The 24,502-nt window shown below is 36.1% G+C and overlaps 1 long non-coding RNA gene across 3 annotated transcripts in view; it reads right to left on the bottom strand.

The window, feature by feature from the left end:
* LOC107984361 (uncharacterized) overlaps positions 1-24,502 on the bottom strand; it is a 552,293-nt gene that overhangs the window by 219,514 nt on the left and 308,277 nt on the right. Inside the window, exon 4 of one of the 3 annotated variants that reach the window (XR_001748316.2) lies at positions 7,989-8,825. The exons of the other annotated variants lie outside the window; for them this stretch is intronic. This is a non-coding gene — a long non-coding RNA (uncharacterized LOC107984361). Of the gene's footprint in view, positions 1-7,988; positions 8,826-24,502 lie in introns of those variants that run through there. 3 annotated transcript variants of the gene reach the window in all.

Genomic DNA, 24,502 nt, shown 5'->3' with positions numbered 1-24,502 from the left:
AATATTTCTTTCTTTAGAGTACAAAGTTAGTAAATGTTCATTAGAACAAACTATTGACTATGTTACTCAAAATGTATATAACCTTAACCTTATCATTTTTTGTTTGCTTTTTTTACTGAGAGGCATTATTCTATAGTAGTTTACAGTATAGACTTGCTGCATTCCAAGCCTGGTTCTACCATATGCAAGCTGAGACCTTGAGCAATCTTTTTAGCCCTTATATACTTCAGTTTCCTTATCTGCAAAGTGAAGCAAATAATAATATATTGTATAAAGTTGTTATTTATTTTAAAGTAGTTGATACTTATAAGGGGCAATTATAATAAAATCTATCTATAAAGTTGTTATGACAGTTAAATATGTTGATGCATATTAAGCTACTAAAACCGTGTATACCTTATAGTAAAATCTCAATAAATGTTACCTGTTTTTAAAAATTGAGTAAAATCTACAAATGTTATAGTGTATTTACTAAATTTAACTCTTTTTAATTAGCTACACATAACATCGGAATGTTTTTATCTTCCCAGTGATGTGTTCCTTATGCACAGGATAAGGGATATATTATCACTCCTTATCCTGAATATTCTCTTTTTGCTGTAAACACTACTTTGTGTCATATTTATATAGTTGTATCAGCTTTCTTTGGGATAGTATTTGCCTAGTATAATTTTCTATCCTTTAAAATTTTTTTCTGTGTCATTATAATTACATGAATCTCTTATAATCTGCATGTAGCAGTATTTTAATTTCAATTTGATAATTTATGTATTTTTTAATCTTTAGTTTTAGTTTTAGGGTACATGTGCAGGATGTGCAGGTTTGTTACATAGGTAGATGTGTGCCATAGTGGTTTGCTGTACCTATCAACCTATCACCTAGGTATTAAGCCCAGCATGCATTAGCTATTTTTCCTGATACTCTCCCTCCCCACACCCCACCCCAAACAGGCCCCAGTGTGTGTTTTTCGCCTCCCTGTGTCCATGTGATCTCATTGTTCAGCTCTCACTCATAAGTGAGAACATGCAGTGTTTGATTTTCTGTTCTTGCATTAGTTTTCTGAAGATAATGGCTTCCAGCTTCATCCATGTCCCTGCAAAGGACATTATCTCATTCCTTTTCATGGCTGCATAGTATTCTATGGTGTATATGTACCACATACTACATTTTCTTTATCCAGTCTACCACTGATGGACATTTGGGTTGATTCTGTGTCCTTGCAGTTGTGAATTATGCTACAATGAACATACACATGCATGTATCTTTGTAATAGAACGATTTATATTCCTTTGGGTATATACCAGTAATGGGATTGCTGGGTCAAATGCTATTTCTGGTTCTAGATCTTTGAGGAATCGCCATACCATCTTCCACAACGGTTAAACTAATTTACATTCTCACCAACAGTGTAAAAGCACTCCTGTTTCTCTGCAATCTCACTATCATCTGTTGTTTCTTGGCTTTTTAATAATGGCCATTCTGGCTGGCATGAGATGGTATCTCATTGTGGTTTTGATTTGCATTTCTCTAACGATCAGTGATGTTGAGCTTTTTTTCATATGTTTTTTGGCCACATGAATGTCTTCTTTTGAGAAGTGTCTGTTCATGTCCTTTGCCCACTTTTTAATGGGGTTGTTTTTTTTTCTTGTAAATTTGTGTTCCTTGTATATTCCGGATATTAGAACTTTGTCAGATGGATAAATTGCAAAGATATTTCTCCTACTCTGTAGGTTGCCTGTTCACTCTAATGTTAGTTTCTTTTGCTGTGCAGAAGCTCTTTAATTAGATCCTGTTTGTCAATTTTTACCTTTTTCACAATTGCTTTTAGTGATTTCATCATGAAATCTTTGTGTGTACCTAAATTTTCTTCTAGGGTTTTTATAGTTTTTGGTTTTACATTTAAGTCTTTAATCCATCTTGAGTTAATTTTTGTGTAAGGTGTGAGGAAGGGGTGCAGTTTCAATTTTCAGCAAATGAATAGCAAGTTCTCCCAGCACCATTTATTAAATCCTGGTCAGACATGGTTGTTCACACCTGTAATTCCAGCACTTTGGGAGGCCAAGGTGGGCAGATCACCTGAAGTCAGGAGTTTGAGACCAGCTTGGTCAACATGGTGAAACCTTTTCTCTACTAAAAATACAAAAAATAGCCAGGGATGGTGGCAGACACCAGTAATCCCAGCTACTTGGGAGACTCAGGCAGCAGAATTGCTTCAACCTGGGAGGCAAAAGTTGCAGTGAGCCAGGATCGAGCCACTGCATTCCAGCCTGGGCAACAGAGCAAGACTATCTCACAAAAATTAAATTAAATTAAATTAAATTAAATTAAATTAAATTAAATTAAATTTAAATTTAAATTTAAATTAAATGAATTCTTTCCCCCATTGCTTTTTTTGGTCAGGTTTGTCAAAGATCAGATGGTTGTAGATGTGCGATCTTACTTCTGAGTTCTCTATTCTGTTCCATTGGTCTGTGTGTCTGCTTTTGTACCAGTCCCATACTGTTTTGGTTATTGTAGCCTTACAGTATAGTTTGAATACTGGTAGGGTGATACCTCCAACTTTGTTCTTTTTGCTGAGGATTGTCTTGGCTATACAGGCTCTTTTTTGGTTCCGTATGAATTTTAAAATTGTTTTTTTCTAATTCTGTGATGAATGTCAATGGTAGTTTAATGGGAATAGCATTGAATCTATAAATTACTTTGGGCAGCATGGCCATTTTCATGGATATTGATTCTTCTTATCCATTAGCATAGAATAGTTTTCATTTGTTTGTGTCCTTCCTCCCTGGCTCCCTTAAGAAGAGTTTTGTAGTTCTCCTTGAAGAGGTCCCTCACATCCCTGTTACCCCAGCTGTTAACTCTTTTTATTCTCTTTGCAGCAACTGTGAATGGGAATTCATTCATGATTTGGTTCTCTGCTTGCCTGCTGTTAGTGTATAGGAGTGCTTTTGACTTCTGCACATTGATTTTGTATCATGAGACTTTGCTGAAGTTGTTTATCAGCTTAAGAAGCTTTTGGGCTGAGATGCTGGGGCTTTCTAGATATAGAATCATATCATCTGCGAAAAAAGACATTTGACTTCCTCCCTTCCTATTTGAATACCTTTAATTTCTTCCTCTTGCCTGATTGTCCTGTCCAGAACTTCCAATACTATGTTGAATAGGAGTGGTGAGAGAGGGCATTCTTGTCTTATGCCAGTTTTCAAGGGGATTGCTTCTAGCTTTTGCCCATTCAGTATGATATTGGCTGTGGGTTTGTCATAGATGTCTCTTATTATTTTGAGGTATGTTCCTTCAATACCTAATTTGTTGGGAGTTTTTAACATGAAGTGATGTTGAATTTTATCAAAGACCTTTTCTGCATCTATTGAGATAATCATGTGGTTTTTGTCTTTGGTTCTGTTTAGGTGATGAATTACGTTTATTGATTTACGTATGCTGAACCAGCTTTGCATCCCAGGAATGAAGCCAACTTGATAGTGGTGGATAAGCTTTTTGATGTGCAGCTGGATTTGGTTTGCCAGTGAGAATTTTTGCATTGATGTTCATCAGGAATATTGGCCTCAAGTTTTCTTTTTTGTTGTTGTTGTATCTCTGCCTGGTTTTGGTATCAAGATGATACTGTCCTCATAGTTAGGGAGGAGTCCCTCCTTTTCAATTGTTTGAAATAGTTTCAGAAGAAATGGTATCAGCTTCTCTTTGTATTTCTGGTAGAATTCAGTTGTAAATCCATCTGGTCCTGGGCTTTTTTTGGCTGGTAGGCTATTTATTACTGCCTCCATTTCAGAAGCTGTCATTGGTCTATTCGGGGATTTAACTTCTTCCTGGTTCAGTCTTGGGGGGATGTATGTGTCCAGGATGGATTCATTTCTTCTAGATTTTCTAGTTTATTTTTGCATAGACCTGTTTAAAGTATTCTCTGATGGTTGTTTGTAATTCTGGGCAGTCAGTGGTGATATCCCCTTGACCATTTTTGCCTATTTTTCTCTCTTTTCTTATTAGTCTAGCTAGCAGTCCATCTTTTTTATTAATTTTTTCAAAAAACCAGCTCTTGGATTGCTATTTGAAAGGTTTTTTGTGTCTCTATCTCCTTCAGTTCTGCTCTGATCTTGGTTATTTCTTGTCTTCTGTAGCTTTGGGGTTTGCTTGCTCTTGGTTCTCTAGTTCTTTTAGTTGTCATGCTGGGATGTCAATTTGAGATCTTGCGAGCTTTTTAATTTGGGCATTTTAGTGCTGTCAAATTTGCTCTTAACACCACTTTAGCTGCATCCCAGAGTTTCTGGTACCCTGCCTGTTTTCACTGGTTTCAAGGAACTTCTTATTTCTCTCTTAATTTCATGATTTACCCAGGGTCACTTTCATCAATTTCTATGTATTTGTGTAATTTTGAGTGAGTTTCTTACTCTTGAGTTCTAATTTGATTGTGCTGTGGTCTGAGAAACTGTTATGATTTCAGTTCTTTTGCATTTGCTGAGGGCTGATTTACTTCCAATTATGTAATCAGTTTTAGCGTAAGTGCCATGTGGCACTGAGAAGAATGTATATTCTGTTGTTTGGGGGTGGAAAGATCTGTAGGTATCTGTTGGATCAGCTTGGTCCAGAGCTGAGTTCAAGTCCTGTATATCTTTGTTAATTTTCTGTCTCAATGATCTAATATTGACAGTGGGGTGTTAAAATCTCTCACTATTATTGTGTGGGAGTATAAGCCTCTTTTTAGGTCATTAAGAACTTGTTTTATGAATCTGGGTGCTCCTGTATTGGATGCATATATATTTAGGATAGTTAGCTCTTCTTGTTGAATAGACCCTTTTACCAATATGTAATGCCTTTCTTTGTCTTTTTTTATCTTTGTTGATTTAAAGTCCACCAACACAAGCTCGGTCAAGAAGACCCTGACCTGGTGGCACTAGAGGAATTAAAGACACACACACAGAAATATTTAGGTGTGGAGTGGGAAATCAGGGGTCTCACAGCCTTCAGAGCTGAGAGCCTCGAACAGAGATTTACCCACATATTTGTTGACAGCAAACCAATGATAAGCATTGTTTCTATAGATTACAGATTAACTAAAAGTATAACTAAAAGTATTCCTTACGGGAAACAAAAGGATGGGCCGAAATAAAGAGATGGGTTTGACTAGTTATCCGCAGCAGGAGCATGTCCTTAAGGCACAGATCGCTCATGCTTTTGTTTGTGGTTTAAGAATGCCTTTAAGCAGTCTTCCTCCCTGGGTGGGTCAGGTGTTCCTTGCCCTCATTCTGGCAAACCCACAACCTTCCAGTGTGGGCGTCATGGCCATCATGAACATGTCACCGTGCTGCAGAGATTTTGTTTATGGCCAGTTTGGGGGCCAGTTTACGGCCAGATTTTGGGGGCCTATTCCCAATAAAAGTCTATCTTGTCAGAAACTAGGATTACAACCCCTACTTTTTTCTGTTTTAAATTTGCTTGGTAAAATTTCCTTCATCCTTTTATTTTGATCTTATGTGTGTCCTTGCATGTGAGATAGGTCTCTTGAATACAGTACACCAATGGATTTTGACTCTTTATCTAGCTTGCCACTCTGTGTCTTTTACTTGGGGCATTTAGCCCATTTACGTTTAAGGTTAATATTGTTATGTGTGAATTTGATCCTGACATCGTGATGCTAGTTGGTTATTTTGCAGACTTGTTTATGAATTTGCTTCATAGTGTCACTGATCTGTATATTTCAGTGTGTTTTTTGTAGTGGCTGGTAACAGTTTTTTCTTTTCCACATTTAGTGCTTCCTTCAGGAGCTCTTGCAAGGCCTGGAGATTACAAATTCCCTTAGCATTTGCTTATCTGAAAAAGATTTTATTTCTTCTTCACTTATGAAGCTTAGTTTGGCCAGATATGAAATTCTAGGTTAAAAATTCTTTTAAGAATGTTGAAAATTGGCCCCCAATCTCTTCTGGCTTGTAGGGATTCTGCTGAAAGGTCTGCATGTCTTTTAATTGGTATTTTAAGTATGATTAATCATAGTATTATCATTGTGTACTTGGATTTAATTCTAGGTTTTTATTTTGTGCCTTTTTACTTATTATTTCTTATTCATCTGTTTTATTGATCACATGTATTTTATTCCTCTTTTGTCCTCTCATTGTTTGAAAGTTAGATAATCTATTTTTCTGTTTAACATGTATTCTCAACTTTAAAAAAATCAAATTCACTTCCCCTAAATTTAAGATTCTTAGAATGCTTTACCACAATCACCCTCCACCTTACAGCTTATTGTTATCCAGTAGTTTAATGTTTTATAACTTACTTATTCTAAACTTTATTCATTATTAATATTGTTTAAACAGTTAATGCTTATTTTATAAATTTCCATGTTTGTCAATATTTTTGCTTCACAATTTTTCATTTTGGGTTTAATTTTCTCCTTCCTGAAAGAGGAAAAGTATGCATTTTTGTAAATTTATCACATGAAGTAAACTCTGTAGAATCATTTCCAGTGAGTATCTATTAGTGGTAAACTAATTCAGTTTGTGTTTATCTGAAAATGTGTTTATTTTGACCTTGCACTTAAAGTGTAGAGTTTTAGGCTGATGGTTATTTATCTCAGCACATAGAAAATCTTTTGCAGTCTTAATTTCTAACACTGCTGTTGAAAAAGCTGGCTGACAAACAAACTTTAATTCTTTCTTAGGTAATCAATCTTTCTCGGATTGCATTTAGGATTTGTCAGTATTTGTCAGTTTGACAATATACATCAAGGTGAGGATATCTTTCTCTGACTTTTGCTTGGAAATTTTTCTTATATTTTCTGAGAATTCACCTATTTTATAAATTCTGGACAAAGTCTTTACCATGATTTAAAATATTTCTTCTTTCCCATTCTCACTTTATTCTATTTCTGAAATCCCTATTAAACAAATATTGAGCCTTCTTATTCTATCCTTGATGTCATGTATCTTCTTTCATTTTCCATTTCTTTCTCCCTGATAGACATGTTCTGAGAAATTTGCTGAGATCAGTTTTTTAAATTCCAATTCTCTGAGTTTAATATGCATTTTAGCCCACTCAATGGGTTCATTTACTATATTTAATGTCATTTATTTATGCAATCTCTTAACAATATGTATTTTACTAGAACCTATGTAAGCACTGTACTTTATTTGATAAAGTTGTTTCCCATAGCTAACAATTCTGATATCACCATATATTGAAAGATTAAAGATGGTGGATAGTGGGAGCCAGGTTTCTTATTGTTGAAGATGGAAATTACTTACAAACAAAAGGAGGTGGCTAGAATGATCTATATGGTAATGGACTAGAGTTGTAGACATTAGTATAAACTCATGCTTAGGATAATATAAATATAGATGTTACATATGTAAATATCTATATTAATATTTATATACATGGGTAAGTGTGGATACATATATTTCTTTTCTCTGTCAGCTGAAAGAACAAGAAGCAATAATAACCATGTAGCAATGAGCACACCTAGTGCCAAGATCTTGGTTTCTAATGCCATTTGTAATAGAAAGAACCATGGCCCCTTGGAGAAATGAGTGATTTTAGAACTAGAGCAGAAAATGTACAAGATAAGCCTGGAGCATCTTGCAATGCCAAAAAGTAAAAATATGCTAAGAAAAATTAAAACAAATAAAACTACATGATGAGGGCACGAGAAAGAGACACAGAAGCCAGCTGAAAAAGCTTTTGATTGCCTAAGCTAGAACAATTTCAGCAACAAAATTAATAAAGCAGTACTGGTTAGTAATCTATCGTATAAATTAAATATCCATGTATTGTTGCTGATATGAATAAATGATTAAATAAATAAATGGAGAACAGGCATATTTTTCCATGCAGATGAACTCAACATGTTTTTATAGATACTCTGTCCTAAGGGAAGTGGAATATACCTTCCCACTCCTTAATGCAGTCTGTGCATACAGGTGTGCTTCAGGGAGTACAGTATGAAAAGGGTAAAAAAAAAAAAAAGGTTGTACAAATCTGACAAACATTACTTCAGCCCAGTGATTAATGTCAATATTAATACTGATAAGTGATGTTGACGATAATATGTGCCCCTGGTATGATGTGATGAAAATGTACTTTACCTCTGTAGTGTTCTCCCCAAAAACATGAGCCCAATCTAATCATGAGACAAACATCTGACAAATCCTAGGGACATTCTATAAAATACCTGACCGGTATATCTAAAAACCTGTCAAGGTCATCAAAAACAAGGAAAGCCTGAGAAACTGTCACAGCCAAGAGGAGGTTAAGGAGATATGACAACCAAATGTAATGTGGTATCTTGGGTGAGATCCTCGAACACAAAAAGACATTAGGTAAAAACTAAGAAAATCTGAACAAAGTATCAACTTTACTTAATAATGCTAATAGTAATAATATAGACAGATTGGTTCATTAATTATAGCAAATTGTTAATAATAGAAGAAACTGAGTGTGGGTTTAGATAAACTCTCTGTACTATAGTTACAATTTTTTTGTAAATCTAATATTGTTTTTAAATAAAAACACTATTTATAAAATACATATTTTATAGCTTCCATTGCATTGTGTCATTATCTAAAGGGTTTAGGAATCTAATACTGCCATTTGTATGTGTATGTTTGCCTATTAATTCTTGTTCATAGTAGATTGTTTTGGGGGGAGCTTTACATTTTTTATTATGAGTTTATTTTCACTAAGACTTTATATCAGGGTCTTTTTTACAGCCTGTGTTGAAATAGTGTCACTCCAGAATGGTTTTTACATTGCTTCTTCTAGGTAGCTCGGAGAAATCACTCACCATTTTTGTGTCAGTCTCTCAGATCATTCCAAATCTGTAAAAGATTAAGGGTCATTATTGTGAATTCAGAGGAAGGTTTCTTTCTCACCAGAGACTTAGGTGAGAGAAGTCACACTTCTACTCCAGCATTGAGCCATGCTGAATCCTTCATGCTACACTCTGCTGTGTGGGGGCTGAATGATATGTACAGAGGAGTGGGCTCCCTAAGGGTATGAGACCAGCTTCCCTGTTGGGAGATTTTTTTGATCCATCTTTTTACTTAAGGTGTAATAGCTCTGACGGCCTGAGATGTGTGTGGCTAGGGAAAGGACTCAGTTCCAATGCTCTGCCTCACAGTACCTCATCTTGTCTCCAAGCCCTCCAGTTACCAAGACTGATACCTGTTTCACTCAATCCCCAGTCAGTCATATCTTGGACTCCTAAGTTCACATGTTAAACCTCTATGAACTTCCCTCTTCATTTTTGGCCCCTCACAACTTACTCTGTTTATTAATTCAACTATGTAGTTAAAAGGAAGTATCTTACATTTAAGTCAGAATCACTTGGTAGTTGAACCCAGAGATTTAGAATTACCTAGTCTGAAACATGGATGTGTGTCTTGCTCAAGCCACATAGCCAGTAACTGGCTGAGTCAGGACTCTAAAGGGGTTTCCTTACTTTCTGCTGTATGAATTATTTCTCCACATCCAAGTCAAAGATGAAATATGTACAATAGTGGTCCAAAAGCTCTTCAAAATTTCATTACAAAACACCTGACACGCATCCATCAGTCAAAACTTTTGGTAAAGCTTTTCATTCAGCTCATACTTTTCCATCTTGTTCACAAGAATATGGTAAATAGTATAGTGGGTTCAACAAGGTCCCCCCCAAAAAATTCATTTCGACCCAAAACCTCTGAATGTGACCTTATTTGGAAATAGGGTCTTTGCAGATGTAATTATGTTAAAATAAAGTCATACTGAATTAGGATCGGCACAAAATCCAATGACTGGTGTCCTTATAAGAAGATGACACAGCAATAAAAGGAGACTTTACAGATGGTCTCCGACTCAAAATGGTTCAACTTAACAAGTTTTCAAGTTTACAGGGATGGAAAAGCAATACACATTCAGTAGAAATTGTACTTTGTGTACCCATACAACCACTCTGTTTTTCACTTTCAGAATGGTATTCAACAAATTACATGAAACATTCAATACTTTACTATAATACATGTTTTTGATAGATTATTTTGCCCAACTGTAGGCCACCATAAGTACTCTGAGCACATTTAAGGTAGGCAAGACTAAGCTATGATATTCAGTAGGTTAAATGTATAAAATGCATTCTAACTGACAATATTTTCCATTTGTAATGAGATTATTTTAAAGTAATTTCATTTTAAGTCAAAGATTATCTGTATATAAAGATGGAAGCAAAGACTGGAATTATTCTGCCATGATCAAGGAATACCAGGAGGCACCAGGAGCGGGAAGAGGTAAGGAAGTATTCTTTCTTAGAGCCATCAGAGTGAGTGTGGTCCTGCCAACACCTTGATTTCAGACTTCTAGCCTCTAGAACGTTGGAAAGAGTTGTTGTTTTAAGCCACTAAGTTTCTGGAAATTTGTTATAACAATCATAGGAAACTAATACAAATGGATTTGCTAAATGCCTCACTAAATCAAGGTGCAGTTTCTTAGTAATTCTCCTGAAGGCTCTTCGGAACACATCTGATCCCCATGTTTTAGAGCCTTTCTCATTCTCTTTCATTTCTTGCCAGTTACTGACCATTGCTCTTTACCTCTGTAAGTCCTTTTATTGTACTAGGATACAATTTATCAGTCTGTCTCAAGGAAGGGCATTACCATTCTTGAGACCATATATCTGGGTGTCATCCTTGTCACCTTTTTCTCCCTCACTTCAGAAACTTCATCAAAAGCAAGTCCTGCTTTACTTTCCTATCTCTTATTTCTGTAGCCCCAATGTCATTCCCTATCCAGGCCACATCACTTCTGCAAGAGAGTTCTACCTCCTAGTATTCCAGTTTTTCTGTATTCATCCTTTCATTTACCCATCCATCCATCCATCCATCCAACAAAAATGTATTAAGTATCTGCTGTGAGAAGAGCATTCTGCAAGGTGCTCTCGATGCAAAAATGAATTAGAAAGAGACTAGGTCTCCGACCTGATAAGAGTTTATAACATAGTGTGGGGACAAACATTAATCAAATAATCTCACAGACTAATGTGGAATTGTCTTAGTAACAAGAACTCTGAAGAAGAGTCATGAGTGTTGCAAGTGGGACTCTTTGAAGAGGGTCTTTCTTCTCCCTCCTTAGATTAGAAGTCAAAGAAAATATCTGTGACTATTAATAGGAATGTTAAAAATAGACAGTTGAATTTGCATAAGTTATCTATAGTTACAATAGTGCCAATGTGTTCTTATATTTACATTATATTCTATAATAAGCATAGCTTTACAATTATAAAAAATGCAATAAATGAGATATTTGTAATAACCTTGGATACACTACTTTACCTCATTTGGGATGCACTGAGAACTGTGGCTTACCTGTCATCCCAGTTGCAACACTACATTTTAATTTCCTGTTTATATGTCAGTCTAAGAGCCTCTAGAAAACAGAAGTATGCCCTATTAACTTCTATGTTTCAAACACCAAACCCCACCAAGCCATTGGTAGATTCTAAATAAATGTTTTTGAATATATAGATGGATGGATGAAAATTAACAGTGAGACTATTGGACTTCTTTTTAAATAGCTGCTTATGGCAGGCAAATGTCCAGATGACAGAGGAAAAAAAATGGAAATAATTTGGACTTCTATCAGAGATGTGCTTTCAAGTATAGGGTGCATTTAAATCTTCAGCATTGTTTAATTTCATTCATGGATGAGCAAGACAACTAGGAATTTCAGCCCTCAATACTTCCACTGCAAAGTATACCTGGTTATCCATTTATCCAAATGAGTATTTAGTGTGAAACCCTCTATGTGACTTCCAAACAATGTCATCATTTTCTGAACAATGACAAGTCGATGAGCCAAATTAAGTGCCTTTTCTCATCATACACTAATTAGAATTCTTCCTAGTAGGTAAAGTTCCTTAATATAACTTTAAAACAGTACTCTACAATTCAAGGTCAAGTTTGCACTGAATAAATTAGCTTAATTCAAGTGTCACATTGATTAGGGATATTGAGCGGATGTACATATGCTTCTAGTGCTTGGAGTGCCCACGGAATCACTGAGTAATCTTTGGACATTGGCATTAAAAAACCTTTTCAGAGGAAGAACAATGTGGCTTGCCTTTGTTTGAGTTACAGATTAAACTTCTCATCAATAGAAATCCAAAGAATGTCTTTTTTTTCCATAACCATCAATGATTTTTTGAAGCATGAAGAATAAAGTACTTCTTACTGAAAACATGGTAAATAAGAAGAAAGTTCAGATATTCTAGAGAGTGGGGAATTACTTAGCATTGAAAGGGACTCTAAAATATTGCAGGCCTATAAATTGGTTGCACAGACCTCAATTTTAATCTGAAATGCAGTGGATATTCCCCCTTAGACATTATATTGTTTGGATAATTCTCTTATTTTTTAGTAGTTTGTACTTAACATGGAGTGCTCAACTCCTTTAGATGATAAGAAAATATATGTAAGTCTCGCATGCCAGTAATTCTTAACTTCGTTTAAGACTATTAAGTTAATTTGTAATTTTAAGGACATCTAATCATTGGAGAAAGCAAAGTCAGAAAATAAATGAGGGTACATTTGGCTTTGTCCTTTACTGAGGTTGGGAAATGTTGCCTCTGCCTCCATAACTAGGTCTATTACTCCCTTCAAACTTGCATCTGCAAAAGGTAATAATCTTTCACTCTCAGCAAAAATAAAGTAGGCCAGCCTTCCCTTTGGGCATATGAGCTCTGCCACTTATAGTCAGTTGCCTTCATGATGGATAGAAGTGTCTTCTTGTGTGCCATCTCCACCCCATTGTTAGTGTCATATGGAAGCATGGCTTTTTAGAAGTGGCATGACTTATTGTTTATGTCTATTGTAGAAAAAGTATGTGTCAAACATTTGCATAACTGCCAACATCTATAAACATTTATAACTTTGTGAGTTCGTCCATTTAGCTTCATTGTTCAGGTTTTTAGTTTACTTTCTTGAAGTTGCCAGCCAAGTCACCAGGGAAAGGCCCAGAAAATTACAAGCACATTAACTCTTTGCCAGCTCTCTACAAAGCAGATACCATGTCCTAAAGTCAAGATTGGTTCCAGAAACTCAAAGCCAAAGAAAGAAGTTTCTAGTGTTTACGATTCAGGGTGGGTAAGTGTTATGGACTTGTGAGAAAAATTAAGCTCCTCTAACGTAAAATCAGCCTAAGTTATTTTATTAAACTAAGAATGGGCTTGCCTAGACCAAAGAGTCTAATGATCAATGTTTTAAATAATTTCAAGATTTATTTGCTCCATGCCAAAAGGTACTCTTAGAGTAGAAGAAAGGGGGATTCACGTAAAGATATGTTCCAAAATTATCTAGGATGGCTTGGTTTCTCATTTCATGCAGACAGTTTGCTCAGGCAGATTTAAGCACAGAAACAGAGCATCCACAAAGCAGAGAACACATAGCTTGGTAAAACTTTCAAGTGATGGTGGGATAAGGACTGGATTGAGATATTTAAATAAATTTAGCCTCTAGAATCTTTAATTCTCTCCCAAATATGAGCCCTCGCAGTATCAGTTGAGCTGCCCTGAACCTTACTTGACCTGAAAAGCAGTCAAGACAAGAACATTATGTCCTAAAGTAATTTAAAATAACCTCCAAATACAGTTCCACAAGATAACAGGGGGCTGAGGGGAGAAAAGTTATCTGTGCAAGTTTGTCCAAATGTTTTGAAATTGACTATAGAAATATAATTATATTTCTCGATTTATGTTTTACATACATGGGAATGAGAAAGCAAAATGCAAATCATGCATGGTGTTCAGTCCAGGATCTTTCCCTGATTCCCCTAGGGAGACCCCCACATGCACTGGCACACAGTCTCAGATTCCATTCCTTTGTGGGTTCTTGAGACTACAGAGCCCATATCCTTGAGCTGTCTAATCTTATGTCACAGGGTTCCCGGTAGGAGTCTTCAAAGTAGGATCTACCTTGCCCCTGGGCTGCATCAAGCTACCTACCAGTGCTGAGTTCTACGTACATACCTACATGGCTTAGTCTGCAAAACACTCAAAACAAAATAACCATCTTTCTAGGTACTGAGCCAGGATTGAAAACAGTATCCATTTCCTAAGAATAAGTGAAGAATGAATTCTCACTTAATATCTCAAATCGGGAAAACTTAAACATTCTGACATTGTCACAGACTCAAATTTGCTAGGGAGGTTAAATATAAGAAAGAAAATTCAGCATCCTGATGAGCAGGCACCACTAAAACAAATTCATTACGTTTTATGCATTCAAGAAATGCATGAAACCTGAAGAACCACAGCATACACAATGCAATATTTGCTCACTGAACTCTTTTATGGCATTCACAGAAGGGGGAAAAAGTAATAAAAAGAAAAGATCCTTCAAAATATTTTTATCTTGAAGAACCACTGCTAAAATTTTGGTCAATAATTATATATTTTAACTGAATTTATTGACATTTAAATCAAGATTTGTAGTATATCTCTGTTTTCTAAAAGAAGTCCCACTACAAATTCAGTTTGGTTCAACCCATATACTTGTGAGAATAGCTAGTACGTATAAGCACTAAATCAGAACTTCAGGGTATACAGAGGTGCTTGGAATCTACTTGGGGAAAGAAAATAAGGACACATTAAAAATTAGGAAACATTTATTGAGAACCTACTCTGTGTCTTACATGGTTCTAGTTTCTTGCTCAGTGCTCTGATCCAAAGTGTATTGTTTTGTTTTGTATTTTTTAATCAAGAGAGGTACAAAAAGCCAAGTAGAAAGTTGTTGGCATTCTGAACAGTAATATTAATAAATAACAATGGGGAACACTTACTGAGAACTCTCCATAGTCTAACACTGTTATAAGCACTTTACACGTAATAACTAATTTAATGCTCACAATAACTCTATGAGGCAGGTACCATTATTACTCCTATCCTGCAGATGAGGAAAGTGAGGAAAAGAGAGGTTAGGTAACTTGCTCTACCCCTACTCACATCTACTATTCAACATGTGAATTGATCTCTCCTTCCCTCCAGAAATCCCAACAAAGGCCTGTGGTAGGGCATAAACCTAAAAACAAGACACATAGGACCCCTTCCTACCTTTACTCAGCTAGGCACATAAGTATCCCAGACCAAGAAGGGGAACAGGTCTTAGGGTCCAGAGAAACTGGACCACAGTGACTCGACTTGCAGGCATAAGCAAGAAGCAATGGACTGAAACAGAGGATTAAATGAGAGTCTACACATTGCCCCCTCCAATGTCCTCATCCCAGGTGTTTGAAACCAGACTATATCATCTAAGCAAGAGAGTGCAGAAACTGTGCAATCCCAAGGAAAAGATCTCTAGAGAGTTATATTTGGGGACCTCCAACTGAGCTGGCTGCCTTGCTATCCAACCATTGCATTTGTGAAGCCTACTGGTTAACAAGTCTTCCATCAGAGAACTGTTAGCCTTTGAACACCTCACACTAAAATAGAAACATTAACACTGATACCAGCAGTCATTAAAATGAAAATTAAATGGAAAAAAGAAAAATATAGTGAAATCATAGGAAAAGAAAATAATATGGGAAGAATGGAAAAAATTGCTTTCCTCAGAGATATAAGACACTACATCTTTTACCTCAAGTAAAAGATACCACAATTGTCAGAGAACAAAAGACACCTCATGGAACTAAAATGATAATAATAATATTAGAAATAACAATTCAACAAAAGCATTGGAAGATTAAAATTGAGACAATCTCCTGGAAGAAACAAGTAAAGGTAGTATACAATAGAAAAAAGTAAAAGTAATATACAATAGAAAAAAATATATATATAAAATAATTTATAAAAAACTAAATATATAAAAAATTAAAAGTAATTTACAATAGAAATAAAAAGAAAATCAGAGCATTTATCCAGGCTGTCCAATATCCAAACAACAGGAGTTCCAGAAAGTAAGGCAAGAAAAATGAAGAAAAAAAACTTATCAAAAAAAATTAATACAAGAAAGTTTTCCTTGTCTACAACAGAAGGAGTTCCAAAGCACCCAACACATAAAGGAAAAGTGTTCCCATTAACTCACATCACTAAGAAAGTTCAGAGCTCCAAGGCTAAGGAACAGATCCTAAAAACTTTCAGAAGAGAAAAACAATTCATACTGATACAAATCAGAAATCAAAATTGCAACAGATATTTCAGCAATAAACATGGAAACTTTAATATTATTGAGCTATGAGTTCAAAAACTCAAAGGGAAATGATTTCCCACTAGAATTCTCTATCCAGCCAACCTATCAATCAAATGACTAAGATCTCAGCAATTTTACTTCCAAAGTGTCTTTTCTCAGGAAGCTATTAAAGATTTGTTCTACCAAATCAGGAGTATAATTATAGAGGAAGGAAGGCAGAGAATCCAGGAAACAAAAGTTCTAATACAAACTTTTGGCAGAGGAAGGCCCCCGTAAGAGAAGTACAAACCAGACTTAAAGAGGCAGTAAGTTGTATGGGAGCAGGAAGATATAGATTTGCAGGAGGGGCTCTCCAGGGAAATAAAGAAACTGATTATTTTGTCTGTCAGAGCATTTAAAAAAAAAATTCTGAACAGGCATTCTATAAACCTGAGAAAATTACCAATAGGTATATAGAAAATCAGTAAATGAAAACGTAATGCAATGAGTAACTACAGGGAAAATAAAAAATAGGGAAATAAAAAGATAGTATTCCACAAGAAATAGTACTGGACTCAGCCATAAAACATATTTATATGGTCATAATAAAGCAAACACAATATTTATTTAATCCCAAATTGCGAGATCTATTTTAAAAGGATGGGGAGAGCAGACATGGGGTGGGAGGCTGCTCTTGGAGGCTAAAGTTAGGATGACAATAGGCAATGTCTAAACTTATTAAAAAAAAAAAAAAGTAGTAAAAGCATGTTATCTAAAAATATGGACACAAATACCAAAATAATTTCAGCACAGTTGCCTCTAGGGAATAGAAACAAAGATGTGTGAAACTGAGAAACAAAAGACCACTTATTTTTAATAATCATTTGATATTATTTACTTTCTAACTTTGTATGCAAATTACTTAAGCTATACATAAACGTATAGAAAATCCATATATCAAATTCACATACCTGCAGTAGACTTTTTTAAAGAATAGTTTTTTTGGTATTCCTTCCTGATCTCATTCCTACTGTCCCTGGAGAAGTTGCTCTGTTTCCCGAGGCGGGCGGATCATGAGGTCAGGAGATAGAGACCATCCTGGCTAACACGGTGAAACCCCGTCTCTACTAAAAATGCAAAAAATTAGCTGGGCGTGGTGGCGGGCGCCTGTAGTCCCAGCTACTCGGGAGGCTGAGGCAGGAGAATGGCGTGAACTCGGGAGGCGGAGCTTGCAGTGAGCCGAGATCGCACCACTGCCCTCCAGCCTGGGCGACAGAGCAAGATTCCGTCTCAAAAGAAAAAAAAGTAAAATAAAGAAGTTGCTGTGTTTCAAGCACTTGCATGCTTTTAGACCCTGACTTTCTAGGTTTACCTCTATAAACAATGTTGCCCTGTTTCCACACTTTCAAACTTTATAGAAATAGCCTCATATTGTATATGTCATTTTGCATTTGCTTTTTTAATTGCACATTGTGTTCCTGAAATTTAATTAATCATGCTGATGAGTAACTTTTGTTCATTAACTGTTGCATATATTCCACTGAAAAAGGATAATGCAATTTACATATTCGTCTCCTTGTTGATGGGCATTGTAATTGTTTCCAGCTTTTCAGTATTACCATCAATACAACAAACATTTTTGTACATGTCCTCTTGAAAAGGTGGGGTGGAATTACACAGCACAAGACCTGAATAGTTTACACTTTACTAGATATGACCAGATGAGTATTTCAGTGATTTCACCAACTCACGCCTTCTCCAAGAAGTGAATGAGTTCCAGTTATTCCAATCCTCACCAAAACTCCAAGCTATACTTCAGAGAGCTGCAATTTTTCAGGAGCAAAGACCCACGTTGGTCTCATTATGACAATCACTTCTGCTGAGGATGTTGCATCTTTATTCAGGCACAAGTAACCCAAATGGCAATAACGATGCTCCTTCTGTGTAAATTTCTCCACCTTTGCTCACACCTGTCTTCCTAGACTGCCCCACTTTGTCTGCCACATACTTGAAGACCAAACTCCATGTTCATATCCTCTCCAAAGGCAGCCCTGACCACCTCTCACAGAAATATTGTTTCCTTCCTTAGGACTCTATTCCCATTCCGTAATTATTGTTTGCTTTCTAGGATTAATGAGACCACTTTTCTTAAGTACAGATCCTGTCACTTGAATTTACTCTAAGCAAGCCTCATGTTGTCAAGACTGATAGTAAGAAGCCTTTGCATTTACACAGGGCTTTGCAGATTTACAGACTTTTTTCATAATCAATATCACAGTTGCTTTTAGCCCTTTTTGAGTATGAGGGCTCTTTTCAAACATAAATAAAAACCTCTGCACAGCAAAAAAAAAAAAAAAAAAAAAAAAACTATCATCATTTTCTGCCACTCTGTAGGTAACCTACAGAGCAGGAGAAAATTTTCACAATCTATCCATCTGACAAAGGTCTGATATCCAGAATCTACAAAGAACTTAAACAAATTTACAAGAAAAAAAAAAAACGACCCCATTAAAAACTGAGCTAAGGACATAAACAGACACTTCTCAAAAGAAGACATTCATGCGGCCAACAAACATATGAAAAAAAAGCTCAACATTAATGATCATCAGAGAAATGCAAACCAAAGCCACAATGAGATACCATCTCATGCCAGTCAAAATTGCAATTATTAAAAAGTCAAGAAGCAACAGATGCTGGCAAGGTTGCAGAGAAATAAGAACACTTTTACACTGTTAGTGGGAATGTAAATTAGTTCAACCATTGTGGAAGACCGTGTGATGATTCCTCAAAGATCTAGAACCAGAAATAACATTTGACCCAGCAATCCAATTACTGGGTATATACATGCCCAAAGGAATATAAATCATCTATTACAAAGATACATGCACACGTAAGCTCATAGCAGCACTATTCACAATAGCAAAGACATGGAATCCACCCAGATGCCCATTAATGATAGACTGAATAAAGAAAATGTGTTACAGATACACCATGGACTACTATGCAGCCATAAAAAGGAAAGAGATCACATCCTTTGCAGGGACATAAATGAAGCTGGAAGCCATTATCCTTAGCAAACTAATACAGGAATAGAAAACCAAACACCACATGTTCTCACTTATAAGTGGGAGCTGAACAATGAGAACACATGGACACAGGGAGGGGAACACACACTGGGGCCTGTCAGAGGTTGTGATGGAGGGAGGGAGAGCATTAGGAAAAATAGCAAATGTATGTTGGGCTTAATACCTAGATGATGGATTGATAGGTGCAGCAAACCACCATGGCACACGTTTACCTATGTAACCAACCTGCACATCCTGCACATGTACCCCAGGACTTAAAATAAAAATTTAAAAAGATTTTTAAAAATAAAAACTGTTGAGTTTTCCTCGTGATAGAAATACATTATATATTAATTTAGCAGATACATAATAATGTAAAACTGTGATGATTTTAATACCACTTTTACATGGATTTTATTTTATTAATTTCAAAAGTATCTACATACTTTTGAAAACAGATTGGGTGTTTCATCACCTATATATTTAGTGGCCTATCTAAGAACAATGCCAGATTCAAAACATAAGTATTATATCTGGAAAAAGCCAAAATATGTTGTAAACAATTTAAATATTATATGAAATTTCCATAAGTGGAGTCAAAGAAGTCATTGATAACACTCAGCAAGCCTTTCTTAAAATTCCCCTCAGTTTTTTCCACACCGAAGAAAACATGTCCTGCTTGTGTCCTCATATCCTGCTGTGGTCTTAACTCTACATATAATCTTGTGTAAACTCCCCTGCACTTGCTCCAAACTCAGCTTGAGGTGCTCTTTCTGTTTCTCTCTTTGTCCCTGGATCACTGTCACTGTCTCTGTCTGTCTCCCTTCCTCCACCCATTCTCTGAATTGCCCCCTTCCAGACTATAGCTCTACCCACTTTTCTGACCAGCACCACAGAGGCCCAGGGTTAGCAACTGCCTGAAATAAAAGAATTCTTACCTGAAAAGGCTGGGGTAGGGGAAAGCTGCAGGCATATATTTTGAATTCATTCTGTAATGTGTGGCTACTGTTTTTTTTTTTTTCGGTCTGTGAAAATGTTAAGGATTTGTATCACTCTTCAGCACCTCAAGGGTCCACAGCCTTTAGGAGAAACCACTGCCTCATCTTATGCCTCTTTCAAACCTCTGCAGGACCCAGCTTAATAATTTATACTGTGTGTTTTGTGACAGTACAGGACAGCAACACCTTCTAAATTCAAACTGATTGTGAAGCATATCCACTACCAATAAATCAGTGTTCCCCCCTTGACTAATTTATGGATTCACTTGGCTAGGAAAAGGTCAGGGACAGTACTGGAGTGGATACAAGCTGACTCAACCACCAAAAAAAAGGAAAAAAATGAGAGCATTTCATTGTTTGTTTACCCCACAAATTGGAGTTTTCATATAGATATTATTTTTACAGTAATATCCACTGACCCACATCTGACACTCAGCACAATTTATGTGAAAATACTGAAAGCATCAGCAGAATCAAGTTAAAAAGTTGAGAAGTGATGCAGCAGGAACAAAGATGGAGGAGAAAAGTGTGTGTATAATATATTGAGAACCCAGGCACCTCATTTCTTTAGCCAAAATAGGAAAATGATGTCTGTATCAATATAAAACTTAAGTTTGTAGCATTCTAAGTAGGTAAGGTGCAAATTTTCTAGGCTTTCTCTTCTATTGGAAAATGTCCTTTTGGCTTCCTAGAATATTCCTGATGGAGAAGTACAACTGCAAGATTAAAAATAAATATTAAACACTTTGGGAGGCCGAGGCGGGCGGATCACGAGGTCAGGAGATAGAGACCATCCTGGCTAACACGGTGAAACCCCGTCTCTACTAAAAATACCGAAAATTAGCCGGGCGCGGTGGCGGGCGCCTGTAGTCTCAGCTACTCGGGAGGTTGAGGCAGGAGAATGGTGCAAACCCAGGAGGCAGAGCTTGCAGTGAGCCGAGATCGCGCCACTGCACTCCAGCCTGAGCGACAGAGCGAGACTCTGTCTCAAAATAAATAAATAAATAAATAAATAAATAAATAAATATTAAACACATACAGATGCACCACATGTTACTATGCACATAAATTTGGAGCAGGAGAATCGGTATATTAAGAAACAACAGGAAATCAGATGACAGGACTTTTTGCTTAAAGGCCAGGCTATTCCATTAACAGTCTATGTGGATGTAGCAATTATTTTTATCTTTAGCTTTCTAAGATAGTTTTGGATAGTGATCTATAAATTTCCTTACAACTCTGAAATTCAGAATTCTGAAAGTTTCCCTATTGGATTAGTCTCACCCATTTGTCCTTAACTCTAAAAAAAATACACACAATGGAAAGAACATTAAGAAGGGGTTTACAGCCCAGCTCTCCCCATGGGTATGTGACTTTGGGCAAATTATTATCTTCTTATTTTCTTCTGGTTGTTATTATCATTACTATTATTAATCCCTCAATATGTAATAATATGTTTCTTACAGTGCTGCTGAGAGGGCTAGGTAAGATAAGCATATAAATATATATTCTAAATGATAAAACATTCTGCAAGTATTAGTTGCTAATATTTGCATGGTCCTGTTGACAAGGCTTGTTCTTCTATAGGGAGTGAGGTAATAGGAGACTGAAATTTTCTAGGATAAAAGCTATGATATCCTTTGAACTACATCTTCCCATTTCCTGTCCACTCATTTCCTCACCCCTGGTAACCACCGATTTATCTGCTCTCTCTGTTTAGATGAACAAGTCTAGAGATTTAATGTACAACATGAGGAAGAGGGCTAATAAATATCACATCATATTAGGAACTTTTGTTAAATAAGTAGATTTTAGCTGTTCTCGCCACAACAAAAAGTAACTATGTGAGATGATGGATAAGTTAATTTGCTTCTCTATAGTAACCATTTGACTATATGTATCCTGTAACATCATGTTGGTAAATCTCAAATATACACACAAAAAATATTTTTAAAAGAAAGAAAAAGGCTAGAGTTTAATTGCTTTTCTCCAAAATAGTCATTTGCACAGGCACAGCAGCCAAAATCGTGGAATAGTCTTATGATTAATTTATTCTATTTTTAAAATATGAAAGAATTCCTATAACTAGAGATAGGAAAAAATCACCAGCAATATCTTCTCAAGTAATTAAAGACCTATTCTTGCATTTTTTAATTTAATGAGCTGTAGAACAGGGTTATACCAAAGCAGGAGAGACAGTTCCGCAAATTCAAATGCGCTATTTGGTGATGTCTACAATGCAAACCTTGTATTTCTATACCACTCATTCACCCAAGTTTGGAATTTTTTTAAAAAGGTCATTTCTTGGATGTTTACTTTCCCTTTATCATCAGAAACTTTGGATTTTTTTTTTTTTTTTTTTGCTCCAAACTTCTAAATGATTTTACTGAACCTCATTGTCTGCTAATCAAGAGTTATCAGGAGATATTTTCTCTGGAGGGAAATAAATTAAAAATTAACTCTGACTGCTGTCTTCTACATGGAAGATTATGCAAATGCTCATCTGTTCCTTTGAATTCTTGAACATCCTGTGGGACCAGAACCTCTTAAATATTCCTACTAATGTTTAAAGTAAGTGTGCACTTACCTGTAGTTCAGGAAGAAGCTAGCAAACAGTATTTACAATATCAGAATGATCAGTAACTGTATTTCCAAACAGCAAATCTCATGGTGGAAATATGGTTCTCTTGGGCCTTGCAAGTGTCAGCATCACCTCACTGAGCCTTCCTCTCCACTGCCCCAAGCAAGCCAGTGATATGGAAAAATCCCATCCAGGGAAAGCTTGCAGACTGAGAAAATAACTTACCCAAACTCTCTTTCCTCGTGTTTTTTTTTTCTCCTTTTCCAAACTAACTTAATATTTTGACTAAATGAAATGTTCCTGAAATAAGATATTAATTTGATTGTTTTGTTAATAGATAAATAAGCAGGAAAACCTATTTATTCAAGCTCCTGGCTGAAAGAAAACCTTCTGGAAGAGGATAGGCTAATTTCCTGGCTGCAAATGGCATTTGAATCAATAATGACTGTTTTGGAAGAACCTACTTCATCTTAGGGTATTTGTAGTCTAAGGAATAAGAGCACCAGTGGTGGGTAAGGAAATGCTCAAAGATGTTTTTGTAGAGGAAAGAAGCACAGCTCAAAAGGTCTTAGCTCCAAAGAAAGGCAGAGGAGGCACCATGTGTGCCAGGAACTTTACTTGGGTATAATGTTCCATCTTATGATCACACAAACAAGCAGATTCATTCAAGCTTTCACAAGTTCTTTAAATCCCATTTATAAGGAGCCCTGAAAAATAAGCAATAAATAAGTCCCCTGTCCTAACAGTATGGCAAGACAGGCAAGTTAACAGCTATAGGCACAATGAGCTTAAAATGAAGTGTAAAGTATTATAAAAGAAAGCATTCAGTGGAAACCCATACAAAGAAGGGAAATTGTCTGGGCAAAGATGGAAAACATGTGAGGGGCACAACAATTATTATCCTCCTTTGACAGATGATACAAGTGAAGCCCCGACATATTAATTATTATTCTAATGGTGAGGGAAGAGTTGGGATTCAGATCCAGATCTTCATCCTCGGAAGTCCAAGCACTCAGGGATTCCCAGCTGAGATTCAGAGTCCTGTTTATCTGTTTAGTCCTGTATAGTTGGAAGAAGGAAACTTCCTGGGAGAAACTGTCCTCGGATTACTCTCCTAAGTTGGAGGAGAGATATGATAAGGAAAGAGATTTTGTCATCTTTATTTCAGCAAATTGAGCAAATATTGCTTTTCAATATATTTTCTAGAAATAGTTCTAAAAGGGATTGTGTGTGACTGACTGGGATACTTGTAGTAAGAGCTCTGTGAGAGCACTAAAATTTTGAACTTCTGGCAAGGTAGAAAGGTCACATGTTTGAGCTAGCACCCAATTCTGGAATATGTCTAAGGGACCTACTCTTTAACCTAGCAAAACTGGCCTCAAAAGGATCCCAAATGCCTATTATAAGGCAAATGTTAAATAAAGTTCTTGCCAATCTTACAACTCAGACAAGTTTCTTCAAAGACATGAGAGCCATCTCTTTGAAATATAATCATCAAGAAAAATGCCCTATGTCTCAGTTTTTCTGGAAGAAGATAGACCTAACTTCAGTTGTCAACTGACTCCTAATCGCACAACCTACCTGCAGTTATAAACATAGGAGAAAATTAGCAAATTTATCTTGAAAACATAAATGGAATGGTTGTACCCATTTGGCTGTATAAAACAGTGAGATTTCTTTCTGCCTCTGTAATCTCTTCAGCAGATTGCCTCTGGTGTGCAT

Source organism: Homo sapiens, chromosome 11 (genome assembly GCF_000001405.40).
Source record: "Homo sapiens chromosome 11, GRCh38.p14 Primary Assembly".
In the NCBI taxonomy this organism is placed as follows: domain Eukaryota; kingdom Metazoa; phylum Chordata; class Mammalia; order Primates; family Hominidae; genus Homo; species Homo sapiens.
Note: the sequence above shows the minus strand (reverse complement) of the source record. Positions and strands in the feature narration are given on the sequence as shown.